Source organism: Homo sapiens, chromosome 3 (genome assembly GCF_000001405.40).
Source record: "Homo sapiens chromosome 3, GRCh38.p14 Primary Assembly".
NCBI classification, from domain to species: Eukaryota; Metazoa; Chordata; class Mammalia; order Primates; family Hominidae; genus Homo; species Homo sapiens.
The window spans coordinates 48,561,417-48,578,120 of NC_000003.12; the positions used below are offsets into that span (position 1 = coordinate 48,561,417).

Genomic DNA, 16,704 nt, shown 5'->3' on the forward strand with positions numbered 1-16,704 from the left:
CCCCTCTGCGGGCAAGCCCGTCCACACTGCCTGGAAAGTCAGTTCTGTCTCTGGCCCAGCAATGGAGTTGGGCTGTGAAATCAGGCAAAACCTAGTCCTTCCAAACCAAGGGACCAGGTCAGTTAACCGGGGAGCTAGGGAGGAAGGCAGAGAAGCCAGGTATGACTCACCCACCATGTGTCGCGGCCTGGGTGCACACCACTGGGATTCTCGCACATCCCATCCTTCAGTCGCTTTGTGTTTATTGAGCACCTCCTGCTGCAGGACCTCCATGTCTGCTACATACACAATGCTCACAGGCTTGCTGGTCCCATCCTTCAGTCGCTTTGTGTTTATTGAGCACCTCCTGCTGCAGGACCTCCATGTCTGCTATATACACAATGCTCACAGGCTTGCTGGTGTCGCTTTGCTTTACAGATAAGGAAACCGAGGCTCGGAAAGGTGAACACCTTTGCCCAGGACAGTCCGTGCGTGAAGTGGGACAGAGTTTGGTTGGAGCTCCGGCAGCCTGAGCCCTGTCTCCTGTGAGCCCTGCATGTCCCTGGGTCGAGGCTGGGGATGCAGGGGTACGTGGGGAGGACAGGGCCTGGCCAGGAGTTGTTCTTGCTTCATGCAGGTTTGGGGGACAAGCACCCACTCCTCTCAGACCCCTCACGTACCCTTACCCTGCTCACACACACTCACAGCTGTCAGAGACTCAGCCACACACGCACATATGCGCCCATAAGACAAGGCTGCCATGGTCACAGGCTTCCTGTGTTCGGGCCTTTGTGCCTGGAGACACCCCTCACAGCCCCGTCCATCTGGGGCAGGTGCTGCCTCATGGGGCACAGAGCAAGCAAGTGACCCTCAGCCAGCATTTCTCTGTGTGGTGGCCTATGGGATGACAGACCTGTGGGCCTCAGAGGGACTGGTCGGAGGCAGTGTTGAGCTCTCGTGTTGAGGCTCCTGAAAGTAACATGATGATGACTGCATGTGGCGGTGTCCAGGTGTTCTGTGACTATGGGGCACCCAGACATAGCAAGACTCGCCACAGCAGTGACCTTACGTGGCAGCATCCAAGCTGTCCGGACATATATTAGGTCTGTGGGGCACACAGGCATGGCAAGACTCCATGTGGCAGTGACCCAACTTAGCAATGTCCAATGTCCAGGCTGTCCAGACACACTGTGACTCTGTGGGGCACTCAGATCTGATATGACCTGCATGACAGTGGCTCCATGTGGCAGTGTCCAGACACTGTATGCCCAGATGTGGCAGCGTCCAGACACTGTATGCCCAGATGTGGCAGCATCCGTCCAGCTGTGTGGCTGCCCTCCAGGTCTTCCCATCCAGGGTGGCCCTATCACTGTGACCCCCTCTCTCAGGCTCAGCAGTGGCCGACACGGGCCAGGATGCGGGCGTTGGTGGTGGCCTGCTCCCTGGCAGCCCTGGCCCGGGCTTGCTCCAGTAAGATCTGCAAGAGGCCGATGGGGACATCCAGCGATAGGACAATGCGCGAGCCAGGGTGGCGGGTGGGGCTGCAGTGGCTCTGGGCAGCCCACGGCCATGTGGGAGCAGCTGAGGGGCTCTCTGAGGCCGCAGGTCGGGGAGTGGTCTGGGGAGAATTCTGAGGGCGGAGCTGGAAGGTTGGGATAGGGGTCACTGGGACAACCAGGACTCTGCCCAACATCAGGACCATCAGCAACAGCAGAGCACACCTGGTCATCGTGAGGTCAGGCTGCAAGGAGAAAATGGGCTCAGGGCAGGGGCTCTGGTCAACTGGGGTCCATGGACAGAGACAGATGGCAAGGGCAGAGTGACAGAGCGGGGGATGGAGAGAGAGGAAGACACCGAGAAAGGGGTTAGAGAGGCCAGGCCAGGCCAGAGACAGAGAAGGGGAGACAAGAGGAGAGCCAGAATGAGACAAAGAGGCAGAAAGCAAGACAGAAAAAAAGAAACAAAGAAATCCAGAGACAGAGGGACAGCAAGAGAGGGAGATGAAGGAGATGGAGGCAGAGCAAAATGGAGACTAGAAGAAAAAGACAGACAGAAACCATCCCAGAGACAGACAGCATGATGGAAAGAAAGATTCAGACAGAAACACAGAGTCCACAGGAGGGCAGGCGGTTCTCAGCAGGAGAGCTTGCAGCTGATCCAGGAAACAGAAGGGCAGGAATCGGATCTCAGAGGCAGAAAAGCAGCCAGAGATCCCAGAGTCCCCTGGGTCCAAGCCCTCCATAAAGCCAAACCCCACATCCACTCAACCTCCAAGACCCTTCCCATCCCGACCCAACCCAGTCCTACCGCCACCAGCTGCTTCTGGGGTAAGGCAGCCTGCTGTGGCTGCCTGGGGCTGGGGCCAGGCACTACTGTCCTGTGGTCTGACCCTCTACCCCGCTTCAGGGCCCATTTATCTCCCTCAGCCCCCTGGGGTGGGAGCTGGTACATGCTTCCTGGCATGAGGCAGCCCCCCACCTATGACTCATCCCTCCCGGGGGTGTCCTTAGCCCCCACCCTATCTACTCTTTTCCGGGGACAAGTTGGGGACTGAGAATCACAAGACAGTGACCAGGACTGGGCAGAGGGACTCTGTACCCATGCAGAATAATACCAACCCCCCAAGGAAAACCTTCCCCCTTGAAACCCCCCATCTTCCCAAACAGTCACAACAGGAGCCTTTTAAAACAGCAGCTTTAATGCCCCCCAGAATCAGCACCATGTCATCACAGGCTTGGGTCAAGGGGCGGGTCAGACGCCAGTCACATCCGCTCACTGCCCACAGCCACCCCCCCACAGTGAGTCATCTGCCAGGGTGGCAGGAGCCACAATGGGGGTTTGTCCACAGGGGGGAAGGCTAGACCCACGGGACCAAGTCACTGAAATAACGGACGTGCACACGCACGCTCACGTGCACACAAGCCTCTAGCACCAAGGGGAGGGACAGTGGGGTTCTGCTGAGACCCCGACTCCTCCAGGGGATGCTGAATCTCAGCTCATTATCTGGGCCTCAGTCCTGGGCAGTACCTGGTGAGGACAGGTTGGAAACGGTCGTCAGCCATCTGACCTTCCCCGGAGACGCTCAGGCAGAGGCACCGCCAAGGGGAGGGAGCGGAGGCTACAACAGGAAGTGGGGGCTCTGACCTCAGAGGGGTCCATACTTAGGTCTTTAAAGGAGGGAACATGGAAGGGGACCCTACTGGGGGCTCCACGGCTGGGGCTCTATATTCAGCTCTTTGGTCTGGGCGTCTGCCCCAGGTCCCCTACTGCGAGGGAGCGTCTCCTCCAGGACCCTGACCTGGAACCCTGGCCCAAGGACTCCTCCCCCAGAACCCGATCCAGGCAGGCTCAGTGCCCAGTTCCCCACGGTGGGGGCTCAGCCCATACCTGTCCCCTGGCTCTGGACCACCCGGGGTGGGCAGCGGCGCTCGCAGGCCTCACGGGTCCCAAAACGGTTGGCATTCCCTCCACAGCCACCATAGACAAAAGGGTGACAGGCCTCTGTGCTGCCTGTCACAGCCCGATGGTACCAGCGCAGGGTGTAGGCAGTGCAGGAGCCCTCATCCAGTGGCAGGGAACAGGGGTCTGGGCCAATGGGGTCAAGTCAGCAGGGTTTGTGGGAATCAGAGAGGGTTGAAAGGTCAGGGGGAGGTCAGCAGGGCTCAGCCCTGCCTGCCCCTCCCCAGACCCCGCTGGCAGCCCCCCATTCTCACCATCACTATCCCAAGGAGCTTCAGGGTCCTGGTACTCCTCCACAGAATACTCGGAGTATTCAGAGTACTCATCATCCTCAGGGGGTACCCGCTCTGCAGGTAGGGCAGGGTGTGCTGGGAGCAGTGGCTGCTGGCCCCGGGGCAAGGTGGGCAGCACTGATTTCCACTGTGTGCACACAGTGCCCATGCGTGTGCCCTGCATGCAGACCCTACGTGCTTGGCGTGTGCCCTGCATTCATGGACACCCATGTGCGTGTCTCGGCCCCACCCATAGCTGCCCCACGGGTTCAGCTGTCCTCACCTTCCTCCTCTGCATGAGAGACGCGGAGCACAGGCACAGCATGGAGCTGGGAGCCGGCAGTGTCTGCAGCATAACTAGGGAGGGGTCCTGGAGCCAAGAGCAGGGGCCTCAGGGCCCTGAAGTCACCATGGGCAGCCATCCCAGCCAACCCCCCTGAGAGGACCCCAGTTGATAGGCAGGGCAGGGCCTGGGGTGAAGAAAGTTCTGGGAGTAGAAAACTACTCACGTGATCCAGATGCGATGAACTGGCCCTGGCAGGCTAGAGGGGGCAGAGAGGGATAGAGAGACAATGACAGAGAGAAGGATGGGAAGATGGAGAGACAGACAGAGACACACAGGCAGAGGGGTAGAGATACACAAAGAGATAGCAGGAGAGGGTAACAGGAGAGAGAGGAAGAGAGAGGGTGGGAGGTAGATAGAGAGATGGAAAAAGAGAAGAAGGCAGAGGAGAGGGAAGTTGGGAACAGGCCAACAAAAGGCAAGAGACAGAAGCAGGCCAGACACAGAAACAGGCAGGTGGTGCAGACAGAGACGGGAAGAGACAGCTTCACTCTGATGCCCCTCCCACCGGGTCCAGGTCAGGCCCAAGGGGACCAGCTCTGCTCCCACCATCATCCCACTCCCCACACAGCCAAGCTGGACATCTGAGAGCACTGCATGGCAATCCTCATCTGCCTGTGTGTCTCCCTCCACTGGGGACACATGTCATGTGTCAGTCCTGCAGCACATGTGTCCTTCTGTGTATCCATCCATCCCCCCATCTTCTTGACTGCTTGCCCTGTAAGTTCTAGGGGCCTGCCTGCCCTTGCCTAGGGTGCTGGGGTGGAGTGGGAGACTGCGGGCTGGGCACCACTCACCACAGTGCTGACTCATCTCTTGGCGCACAAAGCCCCGGATGTCATCCTCCTGGGAGCAGAAGACCACAGGGACCATAAAGAACCCATGGCCCACAGGAAGGACATAGGGCACATAATACAGGGACTATGGTGAGACTGCATGGAGCCAGGGCCCAGGGGTCAGGGTGCTGGGTGAGGGAGGTAGGGCCCCAGCCCACCCAGGCCCACCCAGGCCCTCCCAGGCCCATCCAGGCCCACACTCACCGTCAGTGCAGCTTCTCCCTTCTCGCCTCGAGGACCGGCAGGCCCTGGCCGCCCCTATGTGCAACAGATGGGACCAGGCTGTGACCTCTGACCTCAGGGACAACAGAAGTCACCCCGATCTCTGACCCAAGCCTTGGAATCCCTACTCACCTGCTCCCCTCTCTCGCCAGGAGCTCCAGGGACCCCAGGAGCCCCCACCACTCTCTCTCCGGGGGGACCTCGCTCACCCTGTCAGACACAGGGACCAAGTGAGCAGGGTCAGAGGCAGTGGGGATCAGAGTCAGGCAGGTTGGGGGCCACAGCTTCAGAGGTTGGGGCAGGCAGGCTGGAAGATGGTTATGAGGTTGGAAGGGTAGGGAAGGTTCAGGGATCAGGAGTCAGAGCTGGGGCCCCTTACCTTCTGGCCCTGAAGTCCTTCGGGGCCTCTGGGACCAACACTGCCAGGTGGCCCTGGGGGACCAGCAGAGCCATCATTTCCACTGGGGCCTGGGAAGCCCCCAATTCCTGGGGTTCCCTGGGGAGATATAGGACAGAGTCAGTAATCAGAGGCCCCAGAGATGGACCCTCTCCCAAAGTGCACGCTCCCCTCAATTCACCATGACCATGGCTTCAACTCACCCGCTCCCCTTTCTCGCCCTGGTCACCCTTGGGGCCTGGCTGCCCGTCAAAGCCTCGGTCACCCTGGGAACAGAAGAAGCATGAGAGACCTTCTGCCCTGACCTCCCTCAGCTCTGGAACCTCCCTGAACTCCCATGAGCTCCCTGGCCTAATGCCCAAACCTTCTGTAACCCAAGCACCTGTGAGCCAACCAGATGTGATCCCCATGACTCCAACTCCACTATAGCCCCCTGCCCTGATGCACATGCCCCCTCCACCTCCCATGCTTTCATCCTAACTCCACTGTGACCCCAACCCACCTTGACACCTCGAGACCAGCCCCACTTCAGCCCCCAAAGTCCCAACCCTCTACAGCCTTCCTTGTCCCTACACCCCCATGACCCGACCATGAGCTTCCCTGCCCCATCCTGACTCCCTGTCATGTCCACTGTCCACAGACCCTGTACCTTGGGACCGATCAGGCCCTCCTTGCCAGGGGCCCCCGACTGGCCCGGCACACCAGGCTCCCCCTGGAGAAAAAAAGACATGAACTTGGCCCCCGTCCACCCGTGGCCCCCTCATTCTGAGCGTGCCCACACTCACCATCTCTCCTTTGTGTCCTGCCAGCCCGGGGCGGCCTGGGGGACCAGCTTCTCCCTGCAGGCATCAGGCAGTGGGGTGAGCCTTAGGCCCCAGGCCACGTAGCCCCCCAGCCCCCATCCCCTCTGTACCTTGTCTCCCTTCTCTCCATCAAGGCCACAGGCTCCCTTCACTCCCCGTTCACCCTGAGGGAGAAAAGCAGATGAAGAAGTGATTCCCAGACACCTCACTCTGTGACCCCCTTCACCCTGAAACTAACTCTCCAAACAGGCCTCAGCTACTCCAACCTCTGACCCAGTGCCCTAATATCTGACCCCAGGTCCCTCGCCCTTCAACATTAGGCCTTCCTGACCAGAAAAAAACCAATCTTGTTTCTTTCCTACCTTGAGGCCCCGGGGACCCATGAAGCCAACATCTCCTTTTTCTCCTCGGATACCAGGCACTCCATCCTTTCCTGGGGATCCCTAGCAGGGAGAGGGTCCATGTGAGGTCAGAGGAGGTCAGTGAGGGACCAAAGAGAATCGCCCTGGATAGTGGGTAGGGAACACCATGGGGTGGGAGTCACCTCTGGAGGCCAGAGCCACTGGGGCTTGCCATGGGGACAAGGGTCACCATAGGCAGGGGACACCATCATAGGCGGCTACTGTGGAGGTGGGGGACCCTGGGTGACATGAGGACACCATGAGAGCACTGGGTCACTATAAGGTCAAAAGCTACCACACTGGTGGGACCACCATGGTGACGGGGGCCCTCTGGGGACAGGGGGCCCCTGTGGGAGCAGGGGCATCTTACCGGGTCACCAGGGATCCCTGCTGCACCAGGTTGACCCTGTGAGAAACACAGATGGGGGAGCCCTTCAGTGGGACTGTCCCCAACACTGGCCCATCCGCTGCATGTGTGGCCACTCAGATGCTCAGCGGCCAGGGCCCAGGCCACACACAGATCCCGGGTGAACACACATGGGGCCGGCAGCAAGGGAGCCAGAACCCCCAGCACTTAAGAGGACCCCCAGGATATGTGTGTGTGTGATGCTGGCTCTGGACCTGGGCCTGGGCCTGGGCCTGGGGCAGAACTTGCCTGGGGTCCCAGGAGTCCACGCAGTCCTGGCAACCCGGCTGAGCCCTTGTCACCAGGCTCTCCCTTGCTGCCCTGTGGGAGTGACCAGGAGAGGGATTCAGTCAGGACCAGATCAGGCTGGGGGCTTAGAATACAACGAGCCCGCCAGCTGGGGCAGAGCTCAAGTCACTCCCGAACGGCCCTAGCAGCACGTCCTCCCAGCCTGTGCCATAGCGGGTGGAACTGGGGGCTGTAGTCCACAGACTGGCTCATTTCTCACCCCAAGGACTCCAGACCCTTGCCCCGCCCTCTTATCACTGGGTTCCTCATCCCATCTGAAGCACCTTCAGATGGGGACACCCAAGGAGCCCCTTTCCTGTCCCTATAGGGCCCCTTCATAGGGCCAGTCCACAGAGCTCTCCTAACCTCACACCAAGGCCTTGAGCCCTCCCTAGAGCCCCTCCTCTCGGCCACTCCATAGTCAGCCACAGAACCCCTTCCCCCTAAACCCCAGAAAGCCTCCTCCTGTCCTCCCCTCCTGCCCTCACAGATGCTGTGGAACCACCACAGCCACAGGACCCCACAGAGAGTACACCACCCTCTTCCCTGTACCTTGTCACCAGGGTCCCCATTGTCTCCCCGAGGTCCTTTGTCACCATCCAAGCCCCGAGGCCCTCGTTCACCCTGGGTTGGTTTGGGTAAGAAGTCACGGTAAGGGGCTGAAGGTCCCTCACCCTCTGGGAGTTTGAGCTCTCAGATGCCCTGGGCCAGCCCCACGGGGTCCCTCTCGCACCCAGGGGAGACCCAGTCCACACGTGGGCCCACTCACCATGTCCCCCTTGGCACCCCGTGGGCCTGGAGGCCCCAGGATCACAGCTGAGTCTCCCTGAGGGGGCAGGCAGGAATCAGAGGAGTCGGGAGCACCCTGGCCCCTGCCCTGCCCTCCCCATGCCCACACTCACCTTGTCACCCTTTAGTCCTGCACTCCCAACATCACCCTATTGGGCAAAAGAGTGTGAGTCCCGCCCAAACTGGGGAGGCCCCGCACCTGAATTCTAATATCATACAAGATCCACTCACCCCCCCACTCATGCCAGGACCTTCCCCACGTTCCTACCTTCTCCCCACGCTCTCCCCTGCTGCCAGGGGGCCCCTGTGTGAGAGAAGGTGACCGTGAGCTACAGGAACCAGGGCAGTGGAGGACGGAGGAGGATCAGGGGGAGGAGGGAAACAGTGGGGACCAGACAAAGGGGACAGGGGTAGACGAGGAGGGCCAGAGGGCTAGGGAGGATGGCAGAGAGTCCTGGGGTACAAAGGGCACAGGCAGGGGACTGAAGTCACAGCACTGTCACTTTCCCCAGCGGGACCCACCGTGAGTCCTCGGGGTCCCTCCTGGCCGGGGCGGCCATCTTCACCCTGGATGGTGACATTAGGTTCATTGACTCAGAGGTTGGAAATCAGAGGCAAGAGCTGGGATGAAGGGAGTTCGGCTGTGGAGTAAGACATACGTACCCGGATGCCTGGCTCCCCACGCTCGCCTCGGGGCCCAGGCAGCCCTACTCCAGGGTCTCCCTGGAGACCAACAGGACACCGGGGATCAGTGAGGGGAATCAGTGGGGGACGCAGGGTCATGGGAGGTCAGTGGAGGCTGAAGGGGGTGACCAGGGCACAAGAGAGAGTCAGCAGCACTTGTCCCACCTACCTTGTCTCCTTTGAGTCCAGAGGCCCCAGGTGGTCCCTGTAGGTCAGAGTGAGGTGAGGGTCCTGTGGCTCTCAAAGCGCCTCCCCCAACACCCCACAGTGTGGCCCGCCCCATCCTAAGTCCTCACGAGGACAGGAAATCAAATACGTGGGGCTTTAGGGCACCTCTACTCACCACTGACCCCGGTGGTCCAGGTGGCCCCAGGGGTCCTGGGATTCCTTCTCTCCCTGGGGGGCCTGCCAGACCCTACCAGAAAAATGGGGCAAGAGAGGCAGAGAGTGACTTGGGAACCCTCCTACCCTCTGCCCCCTCAAGACTGGGAACCCCCAAGGCAGGGCCCCCTCCTCACCCACCATGGATTCACCATGCCCCTACATGCTGTTCCCAGCCCCTCACCCGCTCTCCACTAGGGCCTGGCTGACCCATCTCTCCTCGAGGGCCTGTCTGACCCGGGAACCCAACAACACCAGGAGCACCGGGCAGGCCAGGGAGGCCCAGATCTCCCTGAAATAAAAACAGCAAAGGGAGGGAATGGTCAATGCAGGACCCCTCCCAGGACTCTCATCAGAACTCCCTCTTCCTCCTGTGGGGGCCCGGCCTGCTGCCCCTACAACTGGTGATGGGGCATTGACTTACCTTCACACCTGGAGGGCCAGGAGGCCCAGGGGAGCCCGGGACCCCGACTCCTGGGTCACCCTTTGAGGAAAAGAGGCATCGGATCAAGCTCAGGGAGTCTCACGACCAGGACCCCAGCAGGGACCCTTCTGGGTACACATACCTTGAAACCTTTGGGTCCTGGAGCCCCTTTCTGACCCTAAGAAAACCCAGCAAACAGCATTTGAGAGGGTAGGAACATGAGCACAGAGTTCAGACACGGGCTGAAAATATTCCCAGGGGAGTTCTGATGTGACCATGAACACATGGGAACTCAGACATGCGACCAAGAATTGGCTCACAGGAGCTCAGACATGACCATGGCCTATCTCAGGACAGCACAGACAGAGGGACGCTCAGATACTACCATAGACAGGTGGGAGTTCAGGCATGGCACAGGCACAGGGAGCCCACACGCGAGTGCAGACATCTGGCTCCACAGACGTGAGTGCGGACACACGGGCGCTCAGAGGGGAACCCCAACACGTCCACTCCCGGGTAGAGCAGGCATGGCCACAGGCTGAACGCTGGCAGCCAGGGGCAGGGGAAAGGAGGATTGTAAACACAGGACCAAGGAGAGGTTCACAAGAACTCAGGTGTGTCCTGGGATCTGGGAGATCAGACCAGAGCACACGTGTGCCCAGATGTGGTGAGAAACAGACCAAGGATGGGCACACAGAAGCCAAGACAGGGCCCCCAGAGCTCAGAGTGTGGAAGCCGACAGTGTGTGGCTCCCTGTGATCCAGAGAGCAGGCTCCTGGATGTTGGGACATGCAGCCCGACTCAGGGGCTCAGACATGTGCCCCGGCCCAAGAGTGGCCCCTTATGCCCGCCATCACACTCCTCAGGCCAGGCTCGCCCTTGCCTAGGCCCCGGACTCACATCTTCCCCAGGGTCTCCGGGCTCCCCTGCACGGCCAGCTTCACCCTGCACAGAATGGCAGGTGAGGGGTGTCTGGACTGAGCCTTCTCTGCTCAGTAGTCAGGCCCCAGGGCCAACCCACCTCACCTTCTCGCCTCGCGGCCCTGGCAGTCCTCGGTCACCTTTGGCTCCCTGTTGACAGAGGTCAGGAGGCAACACAGGCATCAGTCACAGAAAGATGAGACTCCGGAGGGAGGCATGGGGCCAGAGCTTAAATATGCGGTCTACTATGAAAGCTGAGGGTCATGAGGGTGGGTAAACTATGGGTCGAAGGTCAGAAGTTAGGCCACTGGAGAGACAGGACCCCCAGAACATCTGCTGTCAGAAGTTCCCTACTTACCGGCTCACCCACCAGGTCTCCAGCAAGGCCTCCAGGGGCTCCCTGGTAAGGGGGAGAGGTCAGTGGGATTCCTTGGCCCCCACCAGTTGACCCCCCCTCACTGGCAGCCCCACACACACTCACCTTCTCTCCCTTTGCTCCAGGGAGCCCGACCACAGCCTGTGGGGAATGCTAGTGAGTTTCCTCCTCCTCCCCCGCCCCCACCCTGCCACCCCCATGGCATTTGGAAACAGGCTTGTGGGTGAGGCAGAGGAGTTGCTGCAGGGGGTGGAAGTCAGGGTCAAAGATCACCTGTCCAGGGGCCCCCGTGGGGCCAGGTTCTCCTTTAGGTCCGACAGGGCCAGGCAGACCTGGTGACCCCTATGGCAGAGCAGCGTGAGGAACTCAGTGCCTCTCCACCACCACCCCTGCTGCCCCACTCCTCATATTTCAGGCCCACAGCTGGGCACCACACCCTAGCGAGCTGCCCCCAGAACACATACTGGCACACCAGGGCTCCCTCTGTCTCCATCTTTTCCACTGGCACCATCTCGACCTGGGGCTCCCGGCTTCCCTGTCTCCCCCTGAGAGGGAAGAGCTCTGTCAGGGCTGCCTGTCGACCCTTGACCCCTGGAGCCCAACCCTTGACCCCCAGAACTCACCACTTGTCCAGGCAAACCTGGAGACCCCTGTGGACCCTGACGGAGAACAAGTCGGATGTCAGGGTGACAATGGACACAGGACGACATGAGAGAACATGGGCCCCAAGGAGTGAAAACACGGTGTCCCTACAGGGGCCACAGGGACTCACTCACCACAAGGCCTGAAGGGCCGGGGGGTCCAGGAAGTCCCACAGCTCCAGTAGGTCCAGTCAGGCCCTGGAGGAAGAGAAAGTTCAGGGCAGTGCCAACCCCACCCATCTCCCTATGACCCTAACCTGTGAGCTAGGCCACTCACCCGTCCTGGAGGTCCTGTCTCTCCAGGCTCCCCCTGCAAACAACCCAGAGACTGCATGAGCAGAGCCCACGTGGCCAGGGCTCCTGGAGCTCATCCTCATTGCAGGAGATGACAGCCCAGGAGGTTGGCGCACACTACCCCAGGCATGGACACAGCTTGAAGGAGCCTCCTCCTCCTATCCACACACCTAGACTCACCTTCAGGCCAGAAGGTCCTTGGGGTCCTGCAGGGCCAGCAAGACCCTAGAGAAAAGGGTCAAGGGCAGGGAACAGGGCTCAGGGATTAACACAGAGAAGGCCTGGCTCATCAGCTGTGGCCAATGCCTATCCCAGCCCTTCCAGACCCTCACCAGGCAGTGTTCCCTGGTCACTCACCGGGGCACCAGGTGGTCCAGGGTCTCCATGACCACCCTGTTGTGGCGAAAAAGAGTCTGATGAGGGGGAGTTAGCCGCACCCCACCAAGGAAACTGAGGCAGTACTGGTCACTGGGGCAGGGCACAGGATGGGGGCAAGACAGGTGAAGGTTCTTGGGTACTCACCACTGGGCCAGGGGGGCCTCTTGGACCCTGCAGACCCTACATAGAGAGGGCACTGATGAGCCTCAATCTGGGCCTCACTTGGGCCTGTTCCCAACCTCTGGGGGCTTTTTCCTTGGGGGTCAATTTCCATACCTCACCCTTTCCAGTCACAGATAATACCTACCCATGGACTGCCTCTCATAGATAGCACACACGGGCCTGCACACACACATCCACATACAACCACACACAGACACAGGCACACACAGGCACACACAGACACAGGCACACACAAGCAGGCACACACAGAGAGGCACACAGACACAGGTACACACAAACACACACACACAGACATGCACACACACAGCAGCAGCAGCACCTAGCGGAGGGTCCGGAGCCTGGGGCCAGGTGCTTCAGCCACCACTCACCGGCTTCCCTTCAGGCCCAGCCATACCACGCTCTCCTGGTAGACCCTGCAGAGAATAGGTTTAAGGCCTTAGTTTCCCAGTTCCAACTTCCCCTCCACCCACCATCCCCCTAGACAGAGTCAGGACCCAGACAGTCCCAGGCAGTACAGACCCCAGCCCTGCACACAGGACAATACATGTGAGAGCCACCTTCTTGCACATGTGTGGCTGTTGGGCAAGGACTTACCGGGTTGCCGTCCTGACCCCTCGGTCCAGGCTCTCCCCGGTCTCCTTTGATGCCTGGCACACCCTGAAGGCAGAGTGTCGTGCCCTGAGCCCCCAGTCCCTGCCACGTGCCCAGGTGCATATGCACACCACCTCTAGTGTGCCCCCAGAAAGGAGGGGGACTCTATGGAAGGGTGGAGAGAGGCCTCACCCTGTCTCCTTTGGGACCTTGGTCACCATTGCTGCCCGGCTCCCCCTGTGGGGATGAGATGTCAAGTCAGTCCCTAGTGCCATGGCAGAGGGTGGCCCCGAGCTGATTCCACACACTGACCTTAGCACCCTTGAGTCCAGGGGGTCCCTGTTCTCCAGAGAGTCCAGGACCTGGCTCATCCACAGACACCTACAAACACAAGGTCACAGGGGAGAGATGTCTCTGTCATAGAGGCATGGGGGAGTCATCACAGATCTCAGGATCACAGAGGGTTATAGGGTCAGAAATTCCAGGGTTATGGCACACACTACCATATTTCTGGGGACCAAGCTAAGGGTGGCTTCCTGGTCACTAGTCACAGGACTAAGGCAGGGATGGGGTGATCACCTTGGGGCCAGGGGGTCCGGGGGGCCCAGGGGTTCCAGGGAGTCCAGGAGGGCCATCTCTGCCCTGCAGGAAACAAGAAAATGGGGTGGCAGCCCCAGCACAGCCTCCAGACAGCCTGCCCCACGAAGCCCATCGCAGCCCACCTGTTCTCCACGTTCTCCTTTCTCTCCCCGTTCTCCCTGAAATGCAAATAGCGGGTGAGGGCCAAGCCCATGGGGGGTCCCACCCCTCCCAACCCCTCTTCCCTCACTCTCCTGGCCAGCCCCCAGCCTCACCCTCTCTCCTGGCCTTCCTGCCTCTCCCACACCCCCAGCCCTGCCTGGGAGCCCGGGAATACCAGGCTTTCCAGGCTCCCCGGCAAGGCCGGAAGGCCCGGGGGGGCCCCTCTCCCCAAGGGCCAGACCAGGTGGCCCCTGAGGGCCAGGGTCTCCACGGTCGCCCTTCAGCCCGCGTTCTCCAGGAAAGCCGATGGGGCCCTGCAGGAGTGGAAGAGAGAATGCTGGTGGCTGTACAGCTACACCCCACTCCACGGGGCACAACCCACTGAGCCACTTCTGCTCACCTCCTTGCCTGGGGGGCCCTGTTCGCCTGAGTCCCCCTTGGGGCCTCGACGCCGTTCGGGCACAGGCAGGAAGCTACCAGAGCTCTCATCCCAGGTCTCCACGATCTCCCGCAGGGCAGATGCCTGAGGGACAGCAAGAGGTCAGAGGAGCGGGGTGCGTCGCCGCAGCCCCTATGCCTGTGGGCACCACTAGCCCCAAGGGCCCCCACTTGTCCCTACCCCCAGCCCCTAAACAACCCACCTTGATGCCAGCAGTTTCCAGCAACCGATCCACATTCTGGGGACAAAGTCTGGGTGAAGGGCTGCCCATGACAGAGAAGCTCCTGCCTTCTGCCCCGCACGGCCTCAGGAAAGCACCTTCACACCCTTTTCCCTAGGCCTCTTGCCCAGAGCACCCTTTAGCACTTGGTTGAGGCATGGCTGGAGACTCCTGGGAGCCCCTTTCTGGTGTGTCCCCACTGCCCAAGTTCCCTTGAGTGTGGGCTACAAGAACCCCAATGGGGCAGGGCACTGAACACACAGCACAGAACCTATGGAGCCTCATGGCAAGGGGAAGGGGATGGCAAGGTGGCCCCAATGGGCATGCAAAACAGAGTCAAGGGGACATCCCAAGCCTGGCTCACCGGCACACTTCCAGGCTCTCCTCGCAGGCCACGCTCTCCAGGGAGGCCCTGGAGAGATGAAGACAAACTGCTAGGAACCAGCCTATGGGTGTGCATGTGCACATGTGGGTGCTGTGGCTACCTGGGCATGTGGAAAAGGTGGGGGCCTCACCTGCTCCCCTTTGGATCCAGTCTCCCCACGGTCACCCTGAAAACAAGAATGACCAGGTGGGGAAATGGCCCCCAGCCTGGTCAGCCCCCTCACCACGCCCCCTACCCAACATCCGCACTCACCTTGGGGCCCGTGCCTCCTGGGACACCAGGAAAACCCTGAGATACGGCAGAACACAAAGGGGTCACAAAGGCCCATGGCTTCCCAGGAGGGTTGCCCATTGAAACATCATGGCTTCTAATGCTCTGAAGTCCCAGAATGACCCAGGACACTCACCTGGCCAGGAGGGCCCACTGGCCCTGGGAGGCCTGGAGGCCCCTGGGGTCCAAGGATACCAGGAGCTCCACGCTCACCCTTGGGGCCATCACGACCCTGTGAAGGATGCAGCCAGCATCAGCACCCTGAGACCTCAGAAAAGAGTGGAGTCATATTCCCCCAGGGTCAGGGTCAGGGGTCAGAGGTTGCAGAAAACTCCAATACTCACTTCTCTCCCAGAGGCGCCTGAATCTCCTTTCTCTCCCTAAGGAAGACAAGGATGCTTCAGGCATGGCTCCAAGCAGAGACCAGAGAGACCCCAGGTGGGGGACTTTACCTTCCTCCCGTCTTCTCCAGGGTCCCCAGGTTCTCCCTGTGGGCAGAGGACTCACATCAGCCCAAACATTCACTGGTGTCTGGCTGCAAGACACTACCTTGCTAGATTTCAGATGACTGTGACTGTATTTCTGTGCCTGTAGCTCCATGGTTGTGTGTGTCTTGGAGCATGGCCTGTGGCCGTCTGAGTGAGCTGCTACATGTCTAAGGGTGTGCCTGCATAGGCCTGCTCACCCCAACAGGCAACTGCACACATGTCCTTTGACTCTGGCTCTCTAGAGGTAGCTCCACATTTATGCATCTCTGGGTTGGTGATCGTCCACATGTCCTGGGTGTGTGCATATCCATGTGTGTCTTAGTACATGTACCCATGGGTCTGTGTGTCCTGGTCTGTTTGCACATCTTGGCCCATGTCTGCATATGGGCATGGGCTTATACATGTCTCCAAAGAGCATGGGCTTATACATGCCTTGAGAGCCATGTGTCTTGGCATCTGTCTGCAACTCTTGTGTGTAGCTCAATGTGTATGACCATAAGCGTGTGGGTGACCATATAAAGTCATGGGCCAGCATGTCCTAGCACATGTCACAGGTCAGAGCCATCCATGTGTGTCTCACCATGTCTCAACACAGGTCCACATGCGGTCTTGGGTCCATGTCTTAGCACATGAGTCTGGGTGGAAGTGTCTGGGTATCAACATGTCTCTAAGTGCCCCAAATGTGGCTACACACCAGTGTGTTTGTGCCTGTCGACCTGTCTGTGGCTCTTCACCTGTGCCTATGGCTGTGGGTTATCTGGGCATGTGTCAGCCCATCCTGGCATAAATTGGCCCATTCACCTAACTCCCTATGTGTCTGTGAGGCTGCCTGTGTGTGCATATAGAACTATGTTTCCAGGCCTGGCGCAATGGCTCACGCCTGTAATCCCAGCACTTTAGGAGGCCGAGGCGGGCGGATCACCTGAGGTCAGTTTGTGATCAGCCTGACTAACATGGAGAAACCCCATCTCTACTAAAAATACAAAATTAGCCAGGCATGGTGGCGCATGCCTGTAATCCCAGTTACTCGGGAGGTTGAGGCAGGAGAATCACTTGAACCCGAGAGTCGAAGGTTGCAGTGAGCTGAGATTGT

The 16,704-nt window shown here is 59.8% G+C and overlaps 3 protein-coding genes across 15 annotated transcripts in view, besides 2 other annotated features; all 3 read right to left on the reverse strand.

The window, feature by feature from the left end:
- PFKFB4 (6-phosphofructo-2-kinase/fructose-2,6-biphosphatase 4) overlaps positions 1 to 1,720 on the reverse strand; it is a 45,453-nt gene extending 43,733 nt beyond the window's left edge. Inside the window, exon 1 of the mRNA XM_011533829.3 lies at positions 171 to 1,720. Coding sequence (XP_011532131.1) covers positions 171 to 273 — 103 coding nt within the window. The 5' untranslated portion in view covers positions 274 to 1,720. The remainder of the gene's footprint in view (positions 1 to 170) is intronic.
- Positions 302 to 2,365, reverse strand: UCN2 (urocortin 2). The gene is made up of 2 exons (NM_033199.4): positions 2,287 to 2,365; positions 302 to 1,720 (listed from the first exon to the last, which is right to left on the reverse strand). The coding sequence occupies exon 2, from the start codon at positions 1,706 to 1,708 to the stop codon at positions 1,370 to 1,372; it is 339 nt and encodes a 112-aa protein (NP_149976.1). The 5' UTR covers positions 1,709 to 1,720; positions 2,287 to 2,365; the 3' UTR covers positions 302 to 1,369.
- Positions 2,657 to 16,704, reverse strand: part of COL7A1 (collagen type VII alpha 1 chain) — a 31,257-nt gene continuing 17,209 nt past the window's right edge. Inside the window, exons 66-119 of one of the 13 annotated variants that reach the window (NM_000094.4) lie at positions 15,576 to 15,611; positions 15,468 to 15,503; positions 15,260 to 15,355; positions 15,106 to 15,141; positions 14,984 to 15,019; positions 14,833 to 14,880; positions 14,451 to 14,486; positions 14,210 to 14,332; positions 13,923 to 14,123; positions 13,791 to 13,826; positions 13,648 to 13,710; positions 13,381 to 13,449; positions 13,261 to 13,305; positions 13,072 to 13,134; positions 12,846 to 12,890; positions 12,439 to 12,474; positions 12,274 to 12,309; positions 12,097 to 12,141; positions 11,900 to 11,932; positions 11,758 to 11,820; positions 11,605 to 11,640; positions 11,446 to 11,526; positions 11,255 to 11,323; positions 11,087 to 11,122; positions 10,964 to 11,005; positions 10,711 to 10,755; positions 10,585 to 10,629; positions 9,827 to 9,862; positions 9,685 to 9,744; positions 9,445 to 9,552; positions 9,223 to 9,294; positions 9,049 to 9,084; positions 8,859 to 8,918; positions 8,718 to 8,762; positions 8,464 to 8,499; positions 8,309 to 8,344; positions 8,176 to 8,232; positions 7,959 to 8,030; positions 7,368 to 7,439; positions 7,083 to 7,118; positions 6,674 to 6,754; positions 6,422 to 6,475; positions 6,294 to 6,347; positions 6,158 to 6,220; positions 5,712 to 5,774; positions 5,491 to 5,607; positions 5,244 to 5,321; positions 5,094 to 5,147; positions 4,851 to 4,899; positions 4,220 to 4,252; positions 3,994 to 4,080; positions 3,693 to 3,785; positions 3,367 to 3,564; positions 2,657 to 3,006 (exon numbers count right to left, since the gene is read on the reverse strand). In NM_000094.4, coding sequence (NP_000085.1) covers positions 2,990 to 3,006; positions 3,367 to 3,564; positions 3,693 to 3,785; positions 3,994 to 4,080; positions 4,220 to 4,252; positions 4,851 to 4,899; positions 5,094 to 5,147; positions 5,244 to 5,321; positions 5,491 to 5,607; positions 5,712 to 5,774; positions 6,158 to 6,220; positions 6,294 to 6,347; positions 6,422 to 6,475; positions 6,674 to 6,754; positions 7,083 to 7,118; positions 7,368 to 7,439; positions 7,959 to 8,030; positions 8,176 to 8,232; positions 8,309 to 8,344; positions 8,464 to 8,499; positions 8,718 to 8,762; positions 8,859 to 8,918; positions 9,049 to 9,084; positions 9,223 to 9,294; positions 9,445 to 9,552; positions 9,685 to 9,744; positions 9,827 to 9,862; positions 10,585 to 10,629; positions 10,711 to 10,755; positions 10,964 to 11,005; positions 11,087 to 11,122; positions 11,255 to 11,323; positions 11,446 to 11,526; positions 11,605 to 11,640; positions 11,758 to 11,820; positions 11,900 to 11,932; positions 12,097 to 12,141; positions 12,274 to 12,309; positions 12,439 to 12,474; positions 12,846 to 12,890; positions 13,072 to 13,134; positions 13,261 to 13,305; positions 13,381 to 13,449; positions 13,648 to 13,710; positions 13,791 to 13,826; positions 13,923 to 14,123; positions 14,210 to 14,332; positions 14,451 to 14,486; positions 14,833 to 14,880; positions 14,984 to 15,019; positions 15,106 to 15,141; positions 15,260 to 15,355; positions 15,468 to 15,503; positions 15,576 to 15,611 — 3,303 coding nt within the window. In that variant the 3' untranslated portion in view covers positions 2,657 to 2,989. Of the gene's footprint in view, positions 3,007 to 3,366; positions 3,565 to 3,692; positions 3,859 to 3,993; positions 4,081 to 4,219; positions 4,253 to 4,850; positions 4,900 to 5,093; positions 5,148 to 5,243; positions 5,322 to 5,490; positions 5,608 to 5,711; positions 5,775 to 6,157; positions 6,221 to 6,293; positions 6,348 to 6,421; positions 6,476 to 6,673; positions 6,817 to 7,082; positions 7,119 to 7,367; positions 7,440 to 7,958; positions 8,031 to 8,175; positions 8,233 to 8,308; positions 8,345 to 8,463; positions 8,500 to 8,717; positions 8,837 to 8,858; positions 8,919 to 9,048; positions 9,085 to 9,222; positions 9,295 to 9,444; positions 9,553 to 9,684; positions 9,745 to 9,826; positions 9,863 to 10,069; positions 10,230 to 10,584; positions 10,630 to 10,710; positions 10,756 to 10,963; positions 11,006 to 11,086; positions 11,123 to 11,254; positions 11,324 to 11,445; positions 11,527 to 11,604; positions 11,641 to 11,757; positions 11,821 to 11,899; positions 11,933 to 12,086; positions 12,142 to 12,273; positions 12,310 to 12,438; positions 12,475 to 12,845; positions 12,891 to 13,071; positions 13,135 to 13,260; positions 13,306 to 13,380; positions 13,450 to 13,647; positions 13,711 to 13,790; positions 13,827 to 13,922; positions 14,124 to 14,209; positions 14,333 to 14,450; positions 14,487 to 14,832; positions 14,881 to 14,983; positions 15,020 to 15,105; positions 15,142 to 15,259; positions 15,356 to 15,467; positions 15,504 to 15,575; positions 15,612 to 16,704 lie in introns of those variants that run through there. The other 12 variants (XM_017005688.2, XR_001740005.2, XR_001740004.2 and 9 more) reach the window with 12 other exon arrangements.
- Positions 6,686 to 7,633: an enhancer, noted in NCBI's record as "H3K4me1 hESC enhancer chr3:48605535-48606482 (GRCh37/hg19 assembly coordinates)". NCBI's record gives its function as "activates a minimal SCP1, AML or CMV promoter by ChIP-STARR-seq in primed H9 embryonic stem cells {active_cell/tissue: H9 hESC(primed)}" and the evidence as "EXISTENCE:reporter gene assay evidence [ECO:0000049][PMID:30033119]".
- Positions 8,230 to 8,779: an enhancer, noted in NCBI's record as "H3K27ac-H3K4me1 hESC enhancer chr3:48607079-48607628 (GRCh37/hg19 assembly coordinates)". NCBI's record gives its function as "activates a minimal SCP1, AML or CMV promoter by ChIP-STARR-seq in primed H9 embryonic stem cells {active_cell/tissue: H9 hESC(primed)}" and the evidence as "EXISTENCE:reporter gene assay evidence [ECO:0000049][PMID:30033119]".